Below are 24350 nucleotides of genomic sequence, written 5' to 3'. Positions count from 1 at the left end.
GATAAAGGTATATGTTTTATAAAGGTAAAATCTTATAAGATTGAGGTGAGACAGAGCTTATGCCTGTGAAAAACATAAAAGACTGCATAGGACAAATGCCATCTGAGTCTGTATTGAAAGATACTTCCTATTGCAACAATAAGCTATTGGTTTAGTATCTACAGAATTGGAGAACACGTTATAAAGACTAAATATTGTAAATGCATAGATAAGCCAAAAACATGTTATAGTTAGTACTTTAGCATATCACACAGTTTCTTAAACCTGTTTTAATTGGGTTAATACTAAATTAAATTATATTCCAATACAAATTAAGTAAAGCTGAGACCAATGACAGACAGCAAACAGGTAATGAGAAAAAGCCCCAGGAAAATACAATGTCTGGCTAACATAATCAAGAGTTGAAACTCTACCTCTAAGGAGAAGCATGGGTTTCTTCTCATGTGCCGACACCCACCTGTGACAGGGACTGCCTAGAGCAAAGGTTCTCCAAGTGTGGTTCCTGGGCCAGCAGCATCAGCCTTACCTGGGAACTTGTTAGAAACGCAAATTCCCAGGCCCCACCCCAGACACACTGAATCAGAGAGTCTGTGTGCGGGGCTCAGAGATGTGCATTTTCATTAGTTCCTAAGACTCTTCTGAGGCTCATTCAATTTTGAGAACTATTGGTCCAAAGGATTGTGTTAGATAAAACTTCTGAGTCTGGGTTGGGTTTTGTAGAAAATAATGCTGTATTGAAAAGTGACGCTGTACCTAGGCAAAGGAGGCAGGAGTGAGGGAGCACATGTATTAGTAATGAGGACCCCTTCTTGAACCCACAGTAGACACTCAAATGCCGTCTTGCCCTGAGCAGGCTCAAGATCATACCTTCATCTTAATACTTGTGATAATCAAACAGAAGTTGACATAGTCAGAGCATAGGAAGGCATCCCCAAGGTATAAAAATGAAATAAAAAATGTTGAAAGAGTGGGGTATTTTCTTAACAGATAACAATAAAGCATCCCCAAAATGAAAGAAAAAAAAAAAAACCAAGAACAATTACTACTGGTTTCAAAAGAAATGGGGACTGAAACAGCACAGTTTATGACCTAGACTCCTTATTAGGTATTTACATTTGGATTATATTAGGTTTGCACAAAATAAAAGCCAAATTCTCACATGATGTTTTGACTGTGATGAAACTCTGCAGAGAGAGATGACAATGGCTGGGGTTAGAGCAGACTTTGGTCTTGAAACAGCAAGATATGGAGCAAGTGCACATAAGCCCTATTGTATCATTTTCCGATGTGTGCAACGGCTTCATCATCTAATCAGTGTACTGACCATCTACTCGGAATCTGCTGTAACTGCATCAGTTTGATAGAGAAGTATAGTATTGCCTGACAGCAGTGAGGGAGAAAGAACTAGAAAAAAATGGAGAAAGCTAGAAAAGGAGTAGTTGGCCAACAGAAGAGGTCCAGGGCCTGTATATATCCCTAAACTTAAAAACTATTGGCCGGGCGTGGTGGCTCACACCTGTAATCCTAGCACTTTGGGAGGCCAAGGTGGGCAGATCACAAGGTCAGGAGTTTGAGACCAGCCTGGCGAAACTCCGTCTCTACTAAAAATACAAAAATTAGCTGGACATGGTGGTGCGTGCCTGTAATCCCAGCTATTTGGGAGGCTGAGGCAGGAGAATCGCTTGAACCCAGGAGGCGGAGGTTGCAGTGAGCTAAGATTGTGCCACTGCACTCCAGCCTGGGCGACAGAGCTAGACTCCGTCTCAAAAAAAAAAAAAAAAAAAAAAAAAAAAATTTTTTTTTTGAAGAAATTCCATAAATGTAAAACAGGACATGTAGCTTGAGAACATTTTCTTCCTAGTAATGTAAAATACACACTCTCTAGAACACTCTTCTACTCGCCAGAGAAATGGTTACAAAATGAATTTGATAATCATTTTTGACAAAAGTAACCACTGGACACTGTGCCGGATCAGGGTAAGAATCAGGATATCTGTGGGAGGCACCCCTACACTGGTTTATGATTACATCTTTCAGATATTATTTCAGGCATAAAATGCTATCTGCCCCAAGCCATTAAAAAGAACACAAGAGATGCAGTTGTAAAAATAGATACATTTATAATAATAATAGAAATGAGAAGGGATACACTTGATAGGTAAGAAATTATGACTTTGATTAAAAAAAACTATTTACCAACAAGTAGGCAATAATTTTTTCACTATTTTAAAATGCTACATCTGAGAAAACATGAGCAAGAGAGAGAGAAATTTTAAGAAAAAAAAGGACATACTTCATACAGTTCTGAAAGATGAAAGCCACATGAGATCAGTTCATGAAAGAATCCATATCCAGAGACATGAGCAGTAGAGAGTCACAGCAAAGATGTTTCTGGGTAGTGGTGGAGTGGGAGGGTAGGAGGGTGGAAGGGTGTATGGCAGGTGAACCACGAATGCTCCAGGCTTGGAGGCAGCAGGTAAGATGGCCAGTGCAGCTCAGTGTGACTGGTGGGTTCAGCACAAAAAGAGAGCTGGATGGGCCAGCACTGTCCTATGCCTTGAGGCTGAGCAATGCCCGGCAAAGGCACCTGAAAATAAGCAGAAGCAGATAGCACAGGCGTATGCAGAGAGAAAAGCTTTAAGTGGCAGGTGATAACCAGGAGGAATGGGAAGAACCTAGCCTGAACTACCGGCTCACCCTGTCCTGCAGCATGCCCCGGCTCTCCTCATCATCACCAAATTGCAGGACATAGTAAGCAAAAATAACATCCACAGATGGGGGAAGAGAAAAACACAAATAAAATGATAAGCAAACCGCTCCAGAGAATCAAACATGTAAAAGAAAATAATGTCCTAAATGGGAGACAGTCAATACATTAAACTGATATCCAAGAAATAGAGCAGCAAGCAGGATATTTTAAATGAATACTTAATATTCTCAAAAAGGGATGGGATTGTCAAACAAAATAGGTTATAAAAATGAAAAACATAACAATTGGTAAACAGAACAGTACAATGTAAACAACTGACAAGAAAATGAGCAAGCTGAAGATCAAGCTGAAGAATTCTTCCCGAGAGGAAAAAGTCATGGGAAAAATGAAAAAGAAAACCTAAGAGACATAGAAGACAGATCAAAGAGTCAATAGACCCTTCCTTTATTGAAAAGATGTTCCAAAACAGAATAGAGAGGAAGCAACAGGAGAAACCGTCCAAGAACCGAAGCAAGAAAAAGAACTCTTTAGAATAAAAAGGCCTCAGCTACTGAACCAAATAAATAAATAAATATCATAAAGAAAAAAACAGATATATTTGCCTACAATGAAATGAAAAACTTCTAAAGGACAAAAGAGGCCATACAATTAAGGATAAGCAACAGACTGGGAGAAAAATATTTGCAATATATAACTAATGTCAATGCTGAAAATTATGAAGAATTATAAAAATTTAGAAGAAAACACTCAATTGAATACTGGACGTTATATAAGTTAATGCCTGCCATCTTCCCAACAGCCTGTAAGGTAGGTGAATCTTACTATCCTTGTTTTACAAATAAACAACCCAAGGCATCAAGTGGTCAAGCAACATTTCTCAGATCCAACAGCCATGAATGGAGAAGCCAAGATCCGGGCCCAGGTAGTCTAGCTCAACTGTCTGCTCTTAACCACATGCCATTTTAATATAAGGTTTAGCCTTATCTGTGCACAGAAGCATATACAATATGTTCATTACAGCATCATTTATAGTGCAAAGACAGAAGGAAAAAAACAGCTACCACCAGTAGAGAAATAGATAAACAAAACATTATACATTATACATAATGCACATAGTTATACATTAAATAATACGTAGTATTTAAAAGAAAGGCAATATATGTACATGGAAAAGCATGGTCAATTTTGAAGACCTGTACATTTAAAAATATACAGGTATGTATTTATGGCTAGGTAGAGACTTGTAAAAGATAAATAAAACAATCACAGGCAGACACTAGCTATTAGAGGGAGTCCAGTGAGATTTCAAAGCAGAAGGGAGATAGTTTCAAAGGCATTTCTGTCAATGTGTACATCTGATGACCTTATACTAAGGATGGGCTCACATTTTTCTCATGAATAATTAAAGTAGGATTGAGGAAACATTTTCTTGAACAGTTGCCATAGGCCAGGCGTAAAGCTATCAGAGTTATCTCATTCCATTCTAAAACAACTTCACGTGATGATTCGTATCATTAACCTAATAATAAAGAAGGATAGTAAGGTTTAGTGTGTTTAAATGATTCACTGCAAATGTCTTATACCTGGAGAGACTTAGATTTGAGCCACTGTCTATCCTAAACCATGCTGTGATGTCAAAGCCTGACTGACAATATTGATACAAGGACAGAGAGAAAGAAGTTTCCAGGCTACACCCACCATAACAGACCCAGGTCTTACCACAGCGATCTCGGACAACCAGGTTCCGGCCTTCCTTCAGGTGTATGGTGAGGAGGTACGCAAAAGGGCTGGGGAGGTTACTCAAGCCATCACTGGCTTCCCCCGGTACCTGCACAGATGGAGAAGGCAGTTAAGACAGTATGTCTTGGGCCCAAGCAAGAGAATTTCAGAAATACTTCTCGATTTTGGAGGGAAAAAAGAAAGGCCACTATGATGATCGACTGTCATCCCCAACTCCTCCTCACTATGACAACTTGGTTACCCTGCTTTATTAAAAAGTCCCTTACATTTCTCCCCAGTGGGATTTTATCAGTATTCAGAAGCAAATATGATTACATCTTTGCAAGGTTAGCCTTCCAAGAATTAGATAACCAACCTCTGAAATACCCTCATTAAATTACTGCAGGATCCCTTGTTATAAAACTCAGGGTAGAGCCCCAAGAGAGGCAACAGGAGGAAGAAGTGCAGCTGCAGGCCTGGCTCCCAAGAACATGTGTCCCCGCTTCCAAGTTCAGATGTAAGATGCCCCGTCCTGTTCTCCACCCTTCCCACCAACCCCCATCACCTCTGTAGACTTCCATGTGTAGTAAAATTTCAGTTCTGGGCACTCAGCTGATGCCCCCACAAGCCCACATGTCCAACTGACACATGCTCTTCCCTGGGTCCCCAAAGGACATTGTCTCTGTCCAGTGCTCTCCCGGCTTTTCCACCCTTCTCTTTCATTCTCTGGCACCCACTCTTAGTGTCTCTTACTCTAATCCTCACAGTCTCACCTTCCCGCAACTCAGTCACTTCCTCCTCCAGAAATGCATCAACTCCTGCTGGCCATATTGTAGAATTCAAGTCTGTTTTTGAATATGTATTACATGAGCCCAATTAAATTTTTGAGTCATTTCAAACTTTTGACTGTCCTTAAAGGGAAAAGGGCAAATAAAATCATTTATCATTCACTTATTGGACATTCAATTAATCGATCCTGTGGCTAAGCCACCCTTGACAGCCTTCTTTTGAAAGTTTCAAAGCACTTCAAACTGGCTTTATCTGCCTTACTATCTCACTCAATTTCATAGTTACTCTGTATTTTTAGAAGAATCTATCCCAGTCTGACAAATCAATAGATACTGAATTAATCTCCTCCAGCGAAAATTTGCAAGGCCTGGTTTTGTAAGTGGATACGGTTTGGCATTTTTTTTTTTTTTTTAGCAATAAAAGAGGCAAAAAAAATACAAACCCAAACATTTGATGAGAAATATCTACAACATTTAATGTTTCTTTTTAAGGAATGCCACTCACAGATTGTTCTTCAAAATGTTGAGATGTCATAGAAGCATTCAGGTCACTGCTTCCACATAGCTTCTGCAAAGAAAAAGAAAAAAAAATCTGCTTTACAAAAGCAAATTAATACCAACTCAGGAAGATACCCTCTATCAGGTCTTTTCCTTTGGAAATCTGATATTTGCATATGCAGCTTCAGTGAGGGCCGCCTTCCTGTTTGTGTGGCAAGGAGACGTGGATGCAGAGGTGTCATCCTAGCTGTGTCCTCTGCCGCCTAAGTCACTGGATAAGAGGAACTGCACGCCCCTGCTGGGCCACATGGCATCCCTAGTTCACCCACATGTTTAGCATGCAAATAGCTTTGTTCCCAGAGAAAGCAGCGGGGCAGCACAGCCACTGTGCCAGATCCCTCCCAAGTGGGCCAGCCCGGCCCCCAGCCTCCGATGTGAAACGAGCAGCTCAGGATCCAGAGAATCGAGCATGTCCGTTCGGAAGGAAACGTTTCAAAGAGTGATCTGAGAGACATTCCTCAAGCCATACCTTCATGGGGCTAGCAACTGGTCAATCGCCAAACCAAAACTGGGAAATGCAAATTCTGAACAGATGACCTCAGAATGAGAGGTGTCTATGTTTCCCAGTATTTGTTTGTTTGTTTTTTTTTTTAGACAGAGTCTCACTCTGTCGCCCAGGCTGGAGTGCAATGGCATGATCTCGGCTCACTGCAACCTCCACCTCCTGAGTTCAAGTGATTCTCCTGCCTCAGCCTCCCGAGTAGCTGGGATTACAGGCACCTGTAACAACGCCTGGATAATTTTTGTATTTTTAGTAGAGATAGGGTTTCACCATATTGGCCAGGCTGGTCTCGGACTCCTGACCTCGTGATCTGCCTGCCTCACCCTCCCAAAGTGCTGGGATTACAGGCGTGAGCCACCATGCCCGGCCCCTATGTTTCCCAATTTTAAAATGCTTCTCGTACCCAGGAAATGAGTCCACAGGGCAATGACACCTGCATCATGCAGTAGTTAGTATGGGGCACAGATTCCTCAGTTGTGTCAGCTTTTATAGGCACAAAGGAGATTTTATCTGTTTCTGGAACTTTAACAGAGTTTCTGGGCTGAATGTGAGGACAGCTGCCTGCAATGAGAGGCAGAGTGGAGGGGGGACATGGGCAAATGGCCTCCCAGCAATTTGAGGATATTCCTGTTTGGCACATTAGCCAGGACTGATTGCGTCAATGAAAACCACGGAATTTCCCCTCCAAAGACGACTGGATAACTTCATTGCTATGGGCCAATTTGGAGATGAGAGGCAGCCCCGGAGACAATGCTTAGGAAACCATGAGCCACTGCGGGTAGGGGCACTGATGACATTTGTCCTTTCCATGCACAGTGACCACCTGGACATGACTCAGACATCCAGCTTGATGGCAGGCTACCTTCCGAGACACACATTCGCTCTGTCCAGTGCAGCTTCAAGAAGCAACAAAACATCCAGACCAGGGGGCAAATCTTCAGCACCCACGAGAAATGGTGAGGAGCTGCAAACAAGGACGGGCTTTCTGGCCCACTGCCTCTGCATGCAGTGACATCGAGAAAGGCTGCAACTGGGCAGAAACGAGCCCTGAGTACAAGAAGGAATGGAGCCTCATGGGGCTAGGACAAAGAGGCCCTAAGGTTCTTGTAATCTGCGGTTCTTACCCTTGCCTCTTTCCCCATCAGTCCCAGGTTTAATGTCCCTAGACTGTGAATACACTGTGTTCAGTTCAGGTTAATTCGCACAGGATCAAGAGTGATTTCAGACACAAGCTTTTTCTAGGGCCCTGGCACTATAGCCACTATATGCCTCTGACTGAGGAAGTACCACCACTGCCTAGGCAGGAAGACAGCCCTAACTCTCAATGTGGCTTGATGACAGACAAGAAAAGAGGCTACAGGTCCTTTGCCAAACAACCTCTCCCTTAGTTCTTGGTATCTCCTGCATGTGTTATGTATAAAAGGACCCCCAGGTGAGTTGGGCAGTACTCTCTGAAGTCCACTTTATGCCAATAATCAGAACCTTATTCAACTTACTGAATTTCCCAATATCAATAGATTTATTTGTATGTGTTTTATACCATACACTATCATTTCCCAATAATGCAATCAAATGCAATCGTTCTGCCTGATTTCCAGCATCAATAACCATGCCTTCACATGCAGAGCCAAGAGTAAACGGTGCTGATGCTCTGAAGCCTGAAAAATCACATGCTATGGTCTCCAGTTCTATTAATTGAATCAATGCTCTACCTAACCAATCCCATTTTGAAGATAATTCCACAAAACTATTGGGATCCACTAAAGTGGATAATAACACTTTTGATTAAAGTGTTATGTCATTAGCCAAGGATAATGATGGTCTTGTATCTTCTACTTTCAAATGGAGGAGTGGACAGAGGTATGATTAAACCGTATCACCCCTCAGACTGGACCATATATATTCTCCCAAGTTGTCCTCACTGTACTGAATGATGATGTTAATTAAATGACAAAATTAATCCACCTAACCACCATCATTTACATGTTATCAAAAATGAAAACAGAGCTTTTATTCAAATATGTGATAAGTCTTCCACTTATAACAACAAGGAAATTCAATGTGAGCAATGACATTAATTCAACATTATGGCTGGTTTTACTCACAGAAAAGTCACAGAACTTAAAGTTATGGTTCCCACAGCCACCGTAACTGTCACACACCATATATAAACACCAAGATAGGAAAGTGATTACCATAAAGAACAGCAAAATGTTCCATATGCACAGGAGGATGGAGTTACAGCCGCTGGGGGACACATAACTTTGGATATTCCCCCACACTCTTGCATAGTGCCTGTGGTATTATTCGTTGAGTAGAAGTTGCATTATTTTCACCTGCTTTATAAACCTAGAAACTACATCACTAACTTACTTTTTTCATTAAAAAGAGAAGAATTAATATTTATTTCATCAGGAATACCCCAGAATACCAATATTACGAGATTTTTAAAAAATGTTCCTAGGCTGAGTGTAGTGGCTCATGCCTGTAATCCCAGCACTTTGGGAGGCCAAGGTGGGCGGATCACCTGAGGTCAGGAGTTCGAGACCAGCCTGGCCAACATGGCAAACCCCCCCATCTCTAATAAAAATACAAAAATTAGCCGGGTGTGGTGGCGTGCACCTGTCATCCCAGTTTCTCGGGAGGCTGAGGCAGGAGAGTCACCTGAACCCAGGTTGTGGAGGTTGCAGTGAGCCAAGATCATATCACTGTACTCCAGGCTGGGCAACAGAGTGAGACTCCATCTCAAAAATAAAAAAAAAAAAAAAAAAAAGGAAAGTTCCCAATAAATGTAACCAAGCACTGTGGATTCCCTTAGTTTTTTGTTTATGTTTGTTTGTTTGTTTTTGAGACAAGGTCTCCCTCTGTCACCCAGGCTGGAGTGCACTGACATATTCATAGCTCACTGCAGCCTCGACCTCCTGGAACTTTAAGCCATCCTCCTGCCTCGGCCTCCTGAGTAGCTGAGATTACAAGTGCACACCATCACACTTGGCTAAGTTTTGTTTTATTTTATAAATATTTTAGAATATAAAAATTTTTAAATAGATATATGTTGTAGTATTATATATTATTTTATGTTATGAAATATTTTATAATAAAATAGTTTTATTTATTTTATAAATTTTCTTACAAAATTTATTTTTATAGAGATGCCTTCTCACAGCTGCCATAACTGTCGCACACCAGCCCAGGCTGGTCTCCATCTCCTAGCCTTAAGCGATCTTCCCGCCTTGGCCTCCCACAAAGCACTAGAATTACAGATATGAGCTACTGTGCTTGGCCTTTTTAAAAAAAATTTACTTAAAAAAATTAACACACTGTAAAATTGACATTTTCCATGTGTACACTGCCATAGTTTTAAACACCTGTATATATTTGTATAACCCCCACCACAATCATAATAATAGAACAGTTCTACCACCCAAAAAAATGCCTCTGTGCTATTCCACTTTGACCCCCATCTGTGGTCAAATCTTCCAACTCTAGAACCATGGCAAGTAATTGTATATTTTCATCATATAGTTTTATCTTTTCTAGAATATCATATCATTGGAATCATACAGTATTTAAATGTTTGAGACTGGAATCTTTTACCCAACTTAATGCCTTCGAAATCCGTAAAGGTTGTCATCTGCGTCATTCTTTTTTATTGCTGAGTAGTGTTCCATCCTGGGGATGTACTATCTATTGATTGTTTACCTAATAAGCATCATTTTAACATTTCAAACAAATTTTGTACAAGTACATACTCAGGAAGAGAAATAATTTTAAATATTGTCAAAGCTAATAAGTCTCAATATGACAAAACTGTCTAATTACATACTAGCATTCAGAAACACAGCATTAACATCTTGGAATGAGCACTATTATGAGATTAGTCTTCCCTTGCATAGCTCTCACTGCTGCCTTTCAGGTAAGTGTTTTTCATTTGTGTTTTTTTAAATAAAAGCAACTTTGCATTGATATTTCCATTCTGCCTTGCTAAACTGAAATTTATGGGAAGGTAATACATACTTTGCATTCCCTTTAGATGTGGATTTTCCTACCATAAGAATGCAAATATATTAAAATTCGGCAGGATATGGGGAGACACTGGAATGGCAGATCAATTATTTTAAAAAGAAAATCTTCTCTAGTCACCAAGGACTTTGAGATTGAGGGCAAGAAACTGTTGTGAATAAACATTTTCCTTTCAATATACACTAAATGTGATCCTGTACGAATACCATCTCCCATGTGGCTGTCTGAAGGGTCTTACTATGAGGCACACACAGGAAGCCAAATTAAAAATTAGGTAAGCAGTCACTGTTTGTTTACATTTCAGAGGAAGAAAACATAAACCCACATCCAGAAAAGCTAAATAAGAGTAAAAATTTGGCTGAACAAATCAATAGTATTCTCTTTAAAAACTGCCCCATTAAAGTATATAAATGTATACATACTGCATATTTAATCTATAACCCGTATCTTGTCTATCTAGAATATGTATATTTAAGAATACAGGAGTCACAAACACAAATACATAGAGGACAAAGGAAGTTACAAAATAAGCAAAAGGAATCAGACGGCTCCACTAACCAGGAAGCAGCAACTGGACACAGTGATAGAATGAAAAGTGAGCTACATGGCAATGAGAGGTCAAAACTGGAAGGTGTATTCAGAAGACAATCAAGCCTACTAAACGGCCAAGTCTGTTCTTATTTTTTTGTACCACTTTTCAGGAGGTTATGGATCATACAATCAAGGTGTATAAATTTAATTCTCTCTCATCTCCAAGACTGGTCTCTAAAAGTGATTTCCCTGCTGTATTGACTGTCTAATCTAATAGCAAAATCTGAATCGTGTGTGTGTGTCCATATACCTTGCTCAAGCATATGATGGTATAAAACAGTCAGTAAATTACATCCCATGAGACAAATCCAGCCCGCCGCTTGCTTTTACAAAGTTTGATTGAAATACACCGCTGTCTACTTGTTCTTGTGTTGTCTATGGCCAATGTCATGTGACCTCACCTTGAGTAGTTGTGACAGAGGCCTGTGGCCCACAAAGCTCTGGCCCTTTCTAAAAAAAAAGTTTATCAACCCCTGTTGAAATGCTCTAAAACTCTGCATATTTAGTAATATTTGTCCACTGACCTGCCGTAAGTTTTTTGCATGTTTATTAACAGGAGATACTTTAAAAAATGGTTGCTTGTACATCGCTGAGCACTTTCTAATGTAAAATTTATGCTCCTTGTAACTTCTTAAAACAAGTCCACAGGCTGTCATTAGTCTCCCCAATTGGCAAAGAGGAAAGCAGAGCCAGGAGGCTAAATGGCCATCACAGGAAAGCTGGAGAGTTCGGCCCTGGAGAGCACTCTAGGTTGGGCTTCCCCTGAGTGACCTGGGTACGCTGCTCTTTTCACTGTACCACACCTGCGCCAGGAGAATCCCAAAACAGCACACCTCGCCTGACCAGGAAGCAGCTGTACATGGTAGTGAACAAGGCTCTGGAGTCCAAAAGACCTGGATTTGAGTCCCACCTCTGCTACTTTCTAGCTTTCTGTCCTTGAAAAATATACCTAAAATTCAAGACATGGGAACATCTCTCAATGGATCAAAACAGATTCTTATAGGTTGTTAGAATAATTAAATCACTCAGAGGGTATTTACTGAAAGCCTTTTCTCAGACAGACACTGTGCGAGGACTCTTCGCATACAGAGGAAACCAAATAGATGTGGTCTGATAATATTTATGTAGAAATTAGCAGAGTTCCTTACACATAAACCCTCAGTAAGTAGCATTAGATTGGTGTTGCTATTCTATTTATTATTATTATTATGAATTATATTAGTAATAGTCATAAAACAGCCTATGTGTTTGGGAAGAGTGGATCAAAAGAACTTGATGAAGGTGGTGAGCAATCTGAGTCCCTTTCTTAGCTCCCTCCAACATTCCCCACCGAAAGTGACCAGGACAAAGTCAGAGACTGGCTGACGAAGCCTCGGGACAGTGCCATTTTCCCTCTGCCCACAGCCCATCAGCCTGTGCGCCATTTCTCCATATCTTTTGTCCAAGGCAAAGCTTGGACTTACTGCTATACCCAGTGTCTACAGCAGACACAGCAAGCACTGCCCGTGTGCCAACGATTCCTTCTGCCCTATGAGTGATGCAGCATTGAGCCCATGGGGCTCCTGTGCATCCCGCTCATTCAGTGCACTAAGCAGCTAGAGTTGCCTGACAAGATAGGAACGCCCTACATGATGTGGCTTCTGTTCACTTCTCTGCCATCTCCTCCCATTGCCGCCTCACTGCCTCCTCTCCAGCCTCACTGCTTCCTTGCTCTTCCTGAAACATCAGGGACACTCCTGCTACCCTGGGGCCTTTATGCTTGCTGTTCTCTTTTTCTGGAAGGCTTTTCTCTAGCTATGCACACAACCCACTTCCTCACCTCCTCCATATCTTTGTGTGAAGGTTATCTTCTCGGAAGAGGTCCTTCCTGACCACTCTGTACAAAATGATAACACCTCCCCCCCAGCACCTACTCTGCTTTCTTTCTCTCCATGACACTTTATGTTCTGATTATATCTATAGCTTGCCACCTTTCCTAGTGGAAACTCCATGAGGAAGGTGACTTTTTTCTATTTTGTTGACTACTCTGTCCCTAGTGTCTGGATCTGCATCAGCACAAAGCAGGCGTTCAACAGGTGCGAAGGGAAGGAAGAAGAACAGCGAGACTGAGCCCATGATGGACCCTGGGATGTAGCTGACACACCTGCCTCTCTGACACACCATCACATATTGAGGTACGACTTTCGAGATCACACAAAAATAGTAAAAATGACGTCATTGAAGTGTAGAGAAACTGACGCACTTGTTTAATTTTGCAACCTGGAGGTCGTTTCCTCTCCTCTGTGGTTTCTCACTCTACTTCTCTGTGATCACTAACCTGAAGCTATGCAGTTGCCAAGCCATTTCTGGAAATATCTCAATGGGGAACTTCTCTAAATCACTCAACTCACCCACGTAAGTGCATGCCAAAGCTAGTTATTCACAACTCCAACTGCCAAATGAAATGTCAGGGAAGGACATACCCCATTGTGGAATTTCATGGATTATGGGAAAGGGGGAATGATCCTTTCTTTCATAATTATTAGTTATTGACCATGACAATGAGCCCATTCAATCTTGATAATTATCCTTGTGTTTAAAAGGACACAGTGGACACAGAAAAATAAATGTCTTCCTTTTGTGATCAACTTTTTTTATCTCCAGATCTGAGCTCTCCCATTTGCAGAATTGTACTTCCAAACTCATGTTATACCCACAGTTCTGCGCACAGTCCCAGGATTCAGACAATCCTGGAGTTAGATCCTGTCTCTGACACTTACTAGCTGGATGACATTAAGCAAGTCACTAAAATTCTCCAAACCTCCATGTCATTCTGAAAAATAAGCAATGTTAAAAATAATTATAAACACTAATGAATACAACCAAAATCATGGCAGTAAGCACTTGTTAGGTGCTTGTGGCTGGCAGGTACTGGGCTAAGACCTTCATATTTTTCTAGCCCCACAGACAAACTTAACTAATCTGTATTACTCTCTGCCTATCTAAGTCTTACTAATTCTCAAAAGGAGTTCTCTTCAAGCCTTTCCTGACCACCCTGCTCAGAATAACCTCCCCATTCATCTCAACTGGTTATCTAGCACTGAGTAGAGACTGGTTGGTATTGCTGGTCATTTTTTTCAGTGTCTGTGTCTAATCCCAATTTCACCATCAATACCTACGGCAAGAACCAGAATAGACCGTATGCATTTTCTAAATACTTAGCTGATTTTACAATGCATGTTAAAAGCGTCTTGTAAAGTAAGTACTGGGAGAGTGCTGACTAGAGGAGAAAATGAGGAGAAAAAAACTAGATAAGAAGAAAAAAATAAAAAAATAAGCTCCTCTCCCTCCGAGTTCCCTTAACTTTAGCTTCTTCACATTTCATCTGATGCTTAGAAACTCCTTTCTTTAGGGCCCTACCCACGTAGCGCCTCCATGTATCACCCTTCCCCAACACAACTAAATTTCTTATGGCTTTCCAAGCCTTTGGCAGTGGCTGGAAAGTCAACTGCAGTGATAATATGAATCAATATACATGCATATCATATAAGCAAGGTTTGCAGAAAGGCCGGGAGAAGAAGAAAAATGACATTTCTACTCTTCAAGAGCTTATACTCTAACAAGAGAGACTGACTTCTAAACAGCTATGTGTGTATACACACACACCTATAAAAAGGTATATATATACACTCCCATACATATATATATATATCCGCATGTGTGTGTATGTGTGTGGAGGTATTGGTATGTGGCAGTAGACTATGGTGCTCTTACCTCCTCTTTAGCCACAAGTCTTGGCCACAAGCAATGAGATCGTCCTCCGAGGCTAAAACTGTTAAGATCACAGAGTTAGTCAGCTCAGGCGACTATAACAAAATACCACTTACTAGGTGGCTTAAACAACAGAAACCCACTTCCTGCCTTGCAGATGACTCCATTCTCACTGTGTCCTCACATGGTGGGGAATGAGAGACCTCTGGTGTCTCTTTCTCTTGTATAAGGACACCAGTTCCATTGGATCAGGGCTCCATGCTTCTGACCTCACTTATCCTTAATCACCTCCTAAAGGCCATATCTTCAATACAGTCATGTAAAGGTTAGAGATTCAACATAAGAACTTGGTCTGGGGGACACAATTCAATCCAAGCAATGACTCTTTATCCGTCAGCACCCAGACATACAAAGTCACCTAAAGGACACAATATGGATGCCAGGCCACCATGATAAGATATCAGCCTTACAATTAATGAAGTGATAACATACAATTAATGAAATAATGTGTCAATCAGAAAAAGGGAGAGGTCACGCCAGGAAGCCTCAATAAAAGTTTGGACTTGTTCAGAAGGAGGGACTTTAAAATCCAGGCTTCCTGGACTAAGTGGGCTCACAGAGATGGATAAAGGTGGCCCTAGTAGACAAAGTGTGAGTATGTCAAGTTCTAATTTGTGGCTCAGTACCCATTGTGAGATGGATGGTGTATGAAATGCCATTCAGCATGGAGCCCATGCATTCTCCCTGCAGTGTGCCAATCCCTGCACCAATTTTCCTGATTCTCATGTGACTTCTCCTAAAGGCTGACTGTGGGGAGGAAATGCATTTCAAGTGTTTCCAGGCCCTGAGATAATAATTTCTCCTAACAGGTTAATGAAGTAGACATTGATTATGATTTGACTTTCTGTGTGATTTGACAAAAATGAAGAATGAGCTGTTTACATCAAAAGAACATTAGAGTCTTTAATTTTTATTATTTTTTTTGAGATGGAATCTTGCCCTGTCACCCTTGCTGGAGTGCATGGGCACAATCACAGCCCACTGCAACCTCTGCCTCCTGGGTTCAAGCGATTCTCACGCCTCAGCCTCCTCAGTAGCTGGGACCACAGGCATGTGCCACCATGCCTAGCTAATTTTTATATTTTTAGTAGAGACAGGATTTTACCACGTTGGCAAGGCTGGTCTTGACCTTCTGACCTCAAGTGATCCACCCATGTTAGCCTCCCAAAGTGCTGGGATTACAGGCATGAGCCACCACATCTGGCCTAGAGTCTTCAAAGTATTTAATTCTCATGGCAAATTAGTTGTGATTGTCATTTGTAGCTCAGACTTGTGACCATCTGGTTATCATGAGTCAGTCCTCTGAGCTAGATGACCACTGGACAGTTAGTACATGTCTTAGAGCATGCCGACTTTCTCAAGAACTTACTCAGTGATGCCCTTGCCCAGGACCAATTTGTCTTCCCCTTTCTACCTCCTCTTCCTGTTGTAATCCCTTCTTCTCTCTACAGATTTCTCCAGAGAACAGACTGAGGTTAGTGCTCAGTCAGAGTAAAAGTGACATGCTATGAAAATGAAGGCAGGCTGATTATACTCACCACAGAGTTGGAAAAAGCACCACAGAGAAGGAAGGTTTCCACTAGGCCTTGAAGTATGGGAAGGATTTCAGTAGAACAGAATGAATATGAAGTAAGTTTGCTCCGTGTCCCCACCCAAATCTCATCTTGTAGCTCCCATAATTCCCACATGTTGTAGGAGGGACCCATGGGAGATGACTGAACCACGGGGCAACTCTTTCCCATGCTGTTCTCGTGACAGTGAATGGGTCTCATGAGATCTGATGGTTTTATGACTGGGAGTGTGATAGTTAATACTGAATGTCAACTTGATTAGACCGAAGGATATAAAATATTGATCCTGGGTGTGTCTGTGAGGGTGTTGCTAAAAGAGATTAACATTTGAGTCAGTGGGCTGGGAAAGGCAGACCCACCCTTAATCTGGGTGGGCATCATCTAATCAGCTGCCAGTGTGGCTAGAATATAAGCAGGCAGAAAAATGTGAAAACAGACTGGCCTAGCCTCCCAGCCTACACCTTTCTCCCATGCTGGATGCTTCCTGCCCTCAAACATCCGAATCCAAATTCTTCAGTTTTGGAACCTGGACTGCTTGCTCCTCAGCCTGTAGATGGCCTATTGTGGGACCGTGTGATCATGTGAGATAATATTTAATAAACATATATATATATATTCCATTAGTTCTGTCCCTCTAGACAGAACTATATATATATATATATAAACTATATATATAAACTATATATATATATAAACTATATAAACTATATATATATAAACTATATATATATATTCCATTAGTTCTGCCCCTCTAGAGAACCCTAATACAGGGAGTTTCCTTGTCCATGCTCTCTCCCTTTGCTGGCTGCCATCCATGTAAGACATGACTTGCTCCTCCTTGCCTTCTGCCATGATTGTGAGGCCTCCCCAGCCATGTGGAACTGTAAGTCGTCCATATTAAACGTCTTTCTTTTGTAATTTGCCCCGTCTCGTTATGTCTATCAGTAGCATGAAAATGGACTAATATGATAGGTAAGAGAGGAGGAAACATGTGAGACGACAAAAGACCCCACAAACATGAAAAGCAGGGAAAGTAAGAGACTACCATTATTCACAGATGTTTGGCTTGAACAACTAGGTGAATAATGGTGATACTGCCAAGAAATCATGGTCTATGTTTGAGGTGGTTCTTCAGGGAGACTGAATTCTGTCAAAACAAGTCGAAACCAGGTTCCTATGAGACATCCAGTAGGGTGTGGATCTGGAGCTCAAGAGAGAGTCTGGCTAAATCCTCTTCCACGGATGTATCCTTTCTTCTAAGCGTATGTTCTCACCTTTTGGTTTTACAGCTGGATTTGGCATTTGCAATATTTTAGGCTCTGCCTGTCCTGTTTTTCACATTCCTTCTTCCTTGCCCCTCATGCTTACTTTCCTCTTTTGCCCCATCATTCCAATTCCCCATAACAGTAGACTAACATTTCACTTTCTTTGCTGATGCTGGTGGGCCTGGAGGTGACTGCAGAATTCAGGCATTGCTGATATTTGGGGTCCTGTCCCACTGCCACAGGCTTACTCTCTGCCTATCTGAGTCTTACTAATTCTCAAAAGGAGTTCTCTTCAAGCCTTTCCTGACCACCCTGCTCAGAGTAATCTCCCCACTTATCTCAACTGGCACCAGAGAAGCGCTGGTACACAACAGAAGAGGCAAACCCCTAGGGATCCCTCAGGCCACAGATGCTCACTCCTTGCCTGACCCCTCTGGAAAGCTAAAAACAAAGTAAGTTAAACTGAGAACACTGGACAAAAATCTGATTGTCCTTGCTGTACACCAGGCTTGCCACATGCCAACTCCTTCCTTCTTCTTCATTTCTTCCTCATTCCACACAAGGTATAGAAAGCCACCAGCTATTAACTAGGAAGAAACAGATAAGCCATATCTAAAACACAGAGGAACCAATTCCCAAACTCTCAGGTGACATGAATTCTGCAGGAATTCCCTTTGTTTAAAAAAAAAAAAAAAAGCAGAAATGATAAATTCAGAGTTAAAATCAATATCAAATTTCAGCCAAAAAGTTTACACCTGCCTAAACCTCTAATTTCAATTATCATATAAAATAAAATTGAGTATTTTTTCAAAAACCACAGATGATTTTAATTAAATCATAAACTAAAGAAAACTCACAGGAAAAACACAAATACCCAAGTAACCTGAATGCACACGTTGCTATCATCGTTTTTGTATTAAACAAATATCAGCTGAGCATACGTTATGTGCTATGCGCAAGGCATGAAGCTAGACGCTTAGAAAACAAAGACAAAGGTGTCTCCCCAGCCATGCCAATCCTCCAAATCAACACAGCCTAGTGGAGAAGATAAGTAAGGAAGCCCCTCTTCTGTACCATGTGATAAACTGGTAGTGGGACAGGGCCTTAAACATCAGACTCCAGGTTCTTCAGTTTTGGAACTCAGACTGGGTAGTGGGACAGGCCCAACTCAAACAGGCAGGACTGAGGGGAGGAGCCGGTGAGGAGGGAGCTGGGTGGGCAGAACTAGACTGCAAGGGATCCTAGGGGTCTGATCAGCCGCACTCCCGTCCCTCCGTCCTCTGCAAGCATGCCACCCAGCAAAGCAACGGCACTCAAGTAGAGAGAACCTCAACCCTGAACGGTAGAATCAGTCTTGGTCTTTGTTTTGTACTTTCTAGGTCAGAAAAAGAGGAGCAAAGGATTCATTTTTGAGAACAAAGGTTAAAAAAATGGTTGCGTTAAAAGGGAAAAACCAAATGATCCAGAATAACCTATTCTGGAAGGAATCTGCCTATTCTAAGCTTTCTGCATTTAGCCTGGAGAAGATAAAATAGCCAACCCAACAACCCCACATCTACTATCATGGACCAGCCCACACCCTTCCAGACACACATCACACCACAAAGCTCCCAGTGCCTCCAATCCAGGTAGAGCAAAACACTCATCACCCCCAACAGCACCCATCCACACTTCAGGCTGTGATCACCAGCTTTCCTCACCTGGCAAGCACACTATCCTCTGTGCCAACTTGGACACTGCTTCACAGATAACATGCCCTCATTTTCCACACACTGATCCCCTCCTTCCAGTGAGCTGCCAGGAGACCAGGCTGAAACATTTTGCAACAACAGCTCTGATATCCAGTAGCCTCTTATGCTCTGCTTGTAAGATCTCCCAAAAAATCACAGTTGGAGGGCAGAGGCACTTTCTTACCCATCTCTATTTCCAATAGCAACTTTCACACTGCCTGGCCTAGAGTAGCATTCAAATATTTCTGTTTAATCAACAAAGACAATAAAAGTTCTTTTTTTTTTTTTTTGAGACAGAGTCTCACTCTGTCACCCAGGCTGGAGTGCAGTGGCGCGATCTTAGCTCACTGCAGGTTCTACCTCCCGCGTTCATGCCATTCTCCTGCCTCAGCCTCCCAAGTAGCTGGGACTACAGGTGCCCGCCACCACGCCCGGCTAATTTTTTTGTATTTTTAGTAGAGATGGGGTTTCACCGTGTTAGCTAGGATGGTCTCAATCTCCTGACCTCGTGATCTCCACCCACCTCGGTCTCCCAAAGTACTGGGATTACAGGAATGAGCCACCGTGCCCGGCCATGACAATAAAAGTTCTAAATGGTTTAACAGCAGTCGCTTCAAAAAAATTCCTTCTGAGTATGAAAATGTTAGTATATCAAAGCCAAGAAGCCCACTTTTATTTTCTGGTCAGGAAAAAAAAAGACGAAGATTAACTTTATTATATAATTCAACAGGTTACCTTCCTTATACTGACCTGATTTAATAATCTACTTCATTTGCATTTTGTTTAAAAGAAACATGTATTTCAAATTCATAAATAACTAAAAAGTCAAAAAAGGTTTACAAAATGGGTTTTATAAAACGTAATGCCAAATAAAAAAATAGTTAAAGTCATTTATGGGTAATGGTGTCTTAATATAGTAATGCTTGCTAACGAATATGGCCATGATATCCTCCAAACATCCATGATCCCTTCCCTGGTGAAACCCTGATACATGGAATAAGCAATGAGTTTTGTTTCTAAAAGTGAAACTAAAAATCCAAGTTAAACAACCAGTTTTCTAGGCAATTGTAACACTAACCTGGAACACAGAAAAATTAACCCCTTACTTCAACATGGAAACCTACTTCAGTGTCAGTAACGAAAGACTTTTTAAAGACAACTAATTACATCAGTCACTTAAATCATGATTTGGTAACCTGGGGACTGAATTTAAATTATATTCACCCTTGAAATAAAATATTTGTGTCATCATTATATTTGGTTAATTAATTGTATTGAAATACTAAAGTTTTGTTAACTTTTTAAAAGAATGCTTGTTCACAGGCGAGTGCACACACAGGTATAAAATAGAAGGAAGTTCAAATCCTAAGGCAGTCAAAGGGGGACATACATTCATATGCTTCTTAGGAGTAATAATATGCATGGTTTTTCTACAGGTATGACTGGGCAATGGTGTAGTGAGAGACACAAACATACACTTAAAAAAAAATTCCAGGAAAAGTTAGGTACTTAATTTCTTTGCCAGGAGACAGATAAAAGAGAATTCATCCAATATGGCTTTTAATGTCCTAAAGTATTCTGGAAGAGTTATTTGTAATAGCTTTAAAACACACAGAGGTCAACCCTAAAACTAATGGGAACACTGGGTGCAATCAATACTGCATTAATTTAAATTCTTGTAAACAACATTCTCCCCATCTGAGCTAACCACGAAAATAACTCCTAACCAAATTTTCCAAAGGGAGGGGAAGGGGAAGGGGGAGGGGGAGGGAGAGAGGGAGGGAGAGAGGGAGAGAGGGAGAGGGAGAGAGGGAGAGGGAGAGGGAGAGGGAGAGAGGGAGAGAGGGAGAGAGGGAGAGAGGGAGAGGGAAAGAGGGAGAGGGAGGGAGGGAGAGGGAGGGAGAGAGAGAGAAAGAGGGGGGAGGGGGAGAGAGAGAGGGAGGGGGAGGGGGGAAGAGAGAGGGAGGGGGAGGGGGGAAGAGAGAGGGAGATGGGGAGAGAGGGAGAAAGAGAGGGAAAGAGAGAGAGAGAGAGAGACAAAAAAAAAGAGAGCCCAGCCCTATTCTCACCTCTGGCTCTTCTGGTGCATCCCCTCCAAGGGAAGTTTTCTGAAGATCAAAGATGCCGTTGCTGGACACCCGTCTCCGCTCAGCAGGAGAGGCATAGGCCTCCTCTGAGTCTGTTTCCACCACATGGAGGTGACTGGCTTCTTCCTGGCTCCAATCCAATTCTTCTTCAGACTGTTTCAAGGAGCTACTGCTGCTCTTGGGAAAGATCCCTGCAGTGGACAGACTGCTGGGCACCGAGGTGTAGGAAGACTGTGGCCCGGAGTAAGGCCGGCCCTCTGGGGCCAAGGCCTCAGCCTCCAGGAGATCAGGCACAGAGAGGCTGAGACGGCGGTCCAAGTGATGCCTTGCCCGTAGATCTGGGGGCTTACTTGGGTTCTTTTTCACCTTCTTCTTGCTCAAGTTGATCAACAATGGCCTGGTCCGCTGTTTTAATGAGCCCCAAACAGATGGTTTATCCAGATCCATGGCTGCATGAAGACCCAAGAAGCCACTTCTCAGAAGTACACCTCTACTGAAAACTGCAATGACTCCTATAAAACAGAAAAAAACAACAAAAAACAAACAAACAAAAAAAAAAAACATGAACCTTCTTGGTGGCAGTAAGGCACATCAAAGTGAGAAACACGACTCAAAAATCTTACAGTTTCCAATAAATGATTAAGACTGCAACATTTGATTGGTAACTTGTATAAATATTGGGGAAAGCATTTTTAAAGAACTTTTTAAAAGAATTTTATCAGAGCAACTGTAGAAACATTAAAACGAAGAATGAGATGATAAGGTTGGCACCAAAAAAAAAAAATGCTTCATGAAGAGATAACTGTCTTATTTCCTTCCCAGAGGAAGCGGAGCTAAAGACATTCACGAGAACACCAACAGCAGCTGTTCTTCAGTATGATCAAGGGGTGGGGACTTTCTACTTCTCTAAACCGGAGGTCAACAAACAGTCTCAGTGCAGGGCCAGTTATTAAATATTTTAGACTTGGTGGGCCAGATGGTGTCTGTCGCTACTACTCAACTCTGCTGTGCGACATCAAAGGAGACAGACAGAATACCTAAATGAAAGAATGTGGCTGTGTTGTAATAAAACTTTGCAAACCCAGCAGACTGTGGCTTGCTGATCCCTGCTTTAACCATGTCAACTTCCTTCCCAGAATTAAGTGTACGTTTTCAAGAACAAAAACATGGCCCTATCGACTAGGATTCCATCTAGTATCTTTCAAATTTATATTCACATACAGGTGATTAGAGCAAAACACATTTATAAAAATGTGAGTTTTGTTCTTATTCAGAAGAAATGACAAAATTCCCATAATGAAGCCCTTAAACAAAGCAAGCTTCTGAGATGTAGCCTGAGAATGTGAATGAAAGTGTGGCTCACTAGCAGTTGGTTATGAGGGATAAGGATGCTTCACACATACAGTAAATACGTAATTACAGAGTAGGGTAAATGCTGTGGAGGAAAGTGGTGATTTGGGATATAACAGGTTGAACTCATCACGGATCAAATCAAAATCAAATTTGCAGAAATAACCCTTATTTTATGTGTCACATGCCTCATAATAAATCCTTTCAGTATGAAAAAGAACAGGATGGGCAGACACTGAGACCTGGCCTGTTTGTATTTTGCCACATTTGGCTGAGGCCAAAAGAGGCCAAGAGCTTCCACAAATCACATTTTCTAAAATCAAGGACCCTGGCTGTTGTGCCCCACCCCAGCTCCTTCAAGGAGAGGACAGTTTATCATTGTGAAGAATGGTCCAGAGAGCCAGAGATCAGGGTGTGTGCAGCCATTTGCCTGCTAAAAGTCAGGACTTTGTCTCTATAGCCCTTGCCTAATGACCAGCGCATGACAAGAGCTTCTCCCAGGATGAACTTGGTATCTTCTGCAGACAATGTAAAGATTAAGAGCTTGGCCTCTCAAAACAGACTCCATGGGTTACAATTCTGATTTACTCTGTTCTACTTAGAGGTAGGACCAGGTGCAAGTCACTTCACTAAGCCTCCATTGCCTCACCCACCCAGTGGGGACGAGATTACCTAGTTTACAGATACGATGACACAAAGTAGAAAGCACAGTGTCTGATGCTTTAAAGTGCTCAGACACAGAAAGGTGTCTCTATCATTATTCTCATCATTTCTTGTTTGGATATCTTAATCAAGTTATGTAAGAGTTCTGTGTCTCACTGTTATTCCCATGTTACAGATGAGTTTAACAGTAAGTACCTCGGGAGGCTGCGGTGAGGACTGAATGGACTAATACACAGAAAGTGCTTTGGTATCTAGAACAGTGCTAGGTATGGAGTAAATGTTTAATACAATGTTAGCGACTTTTAAAATTGTTTCAATTACTTTGTATTGGGTCATTTTGGCTTTAAATGTTTAAAATAGTTTACAACTTTTTTTGCAGCTTTTAAAAACGTTATCCTAAACAGAAACTTGAATTTCACGTTAGCAATACGCAAGTACATTCAATTCACATCTCATAACTTGACTTGCAAATACGATAAAAGGCATTGCTTCTATTTTCATATAGCAATATTTTCCTTCAATTAGCATTTAATGAAGGAGAGTAGGGTAGCACTCTATGGAGACCTGGGAGGAATCTGTAAGAAATGGGAAGTGTCAAACCAGCTAATACAACCAGAGGACCCACAATGTGACAGGTACTATGAGAAACTCAGGACACAGAGCAGAGTCTTGAAAAAATGTATCATGTATGTGGAAATTAAAACAATGCAATTGAGACATCTGAGAAAAAGAATTTATACAAATTCCACACTAATTACAACCAGACAGAATTTTTTTTTTTTTTGAGTCAGGGTCTCACTCCAGTTGCCCAGGCTGGAGTGCAATGGCACGATCACAGCTCACTGCGGCCTCGAACTCCTGGGCTCAAGCGACCCTCCCAGTTCAGCCTCCCAAATAGCTGGGACTACAGACACACGCCACCATGCCCAGCTATTTTTTTGTACAGATAGAATTTTTGACAGAAGAAACATTTTGATGAACTA

The 24350-nt window shown here is 41.6% G+C and overlaps 1 protein-coding gene across 26 annotated transcripts in view; it reads right to left on the bottom strand.

The window, feature by feature from the left end:
• Positions 1-24350, bottom strand: part of MCTP2 (multiple C2 and transmembrane domain containing 2) — a 252587-nt gene that overhangs the window by 163886 nt on the left and 64351 nt on the right. For 18 of the 26 annotated variants that reach the window (NR_169530.1, NR_169529.1, NR_169527.1 and 15 more), the window contains 3 exons: positions 21337-21866; positions 5723-5785; positions 4430-4538 (listed from right to left, as the gene is read on the bottom strand). Coding sequence is in view for 19 of the 26 variants with exons in the window: in XM_047432839.1 (XP_047288795.1) it covers positions 4430-4538; positions 5723-5785; positions 21337-21801 (637 nt within the window). In the remaining 7 variants the exon portion in view is untranslated. Of the gene's footprint in view, positions 1-4429; positions 4539-5202; positions 5341-5722; positions 5786-14644; positions 14703-21336; positions 21867-21977; positions 22126-24350 lie in introns of those variants that run through there. The other 8 variants (NM_001385009.1, NM_001385010.1, XM_047432843.1 and 5 more) reach the window with 4 other exon arrangements.

This window comes from Homo sapiens, chromosome 15 (assembly GCF_000001405.40).
Source record: "Homo sapiens chromosome 15, GRCh38.p14 Primary Assembly".
NCBI classification, from domain to species: Eukaryota; Metazoa; Chordata; class Mammalia; order Primates; family Hominidae; genus Homo; species Homo sapiens.
The sequence above is the reverse complement of the archived record's forward strand: the minus strand, read 5'-3'. Positions and strand labels throughout refer to the sequence as shown.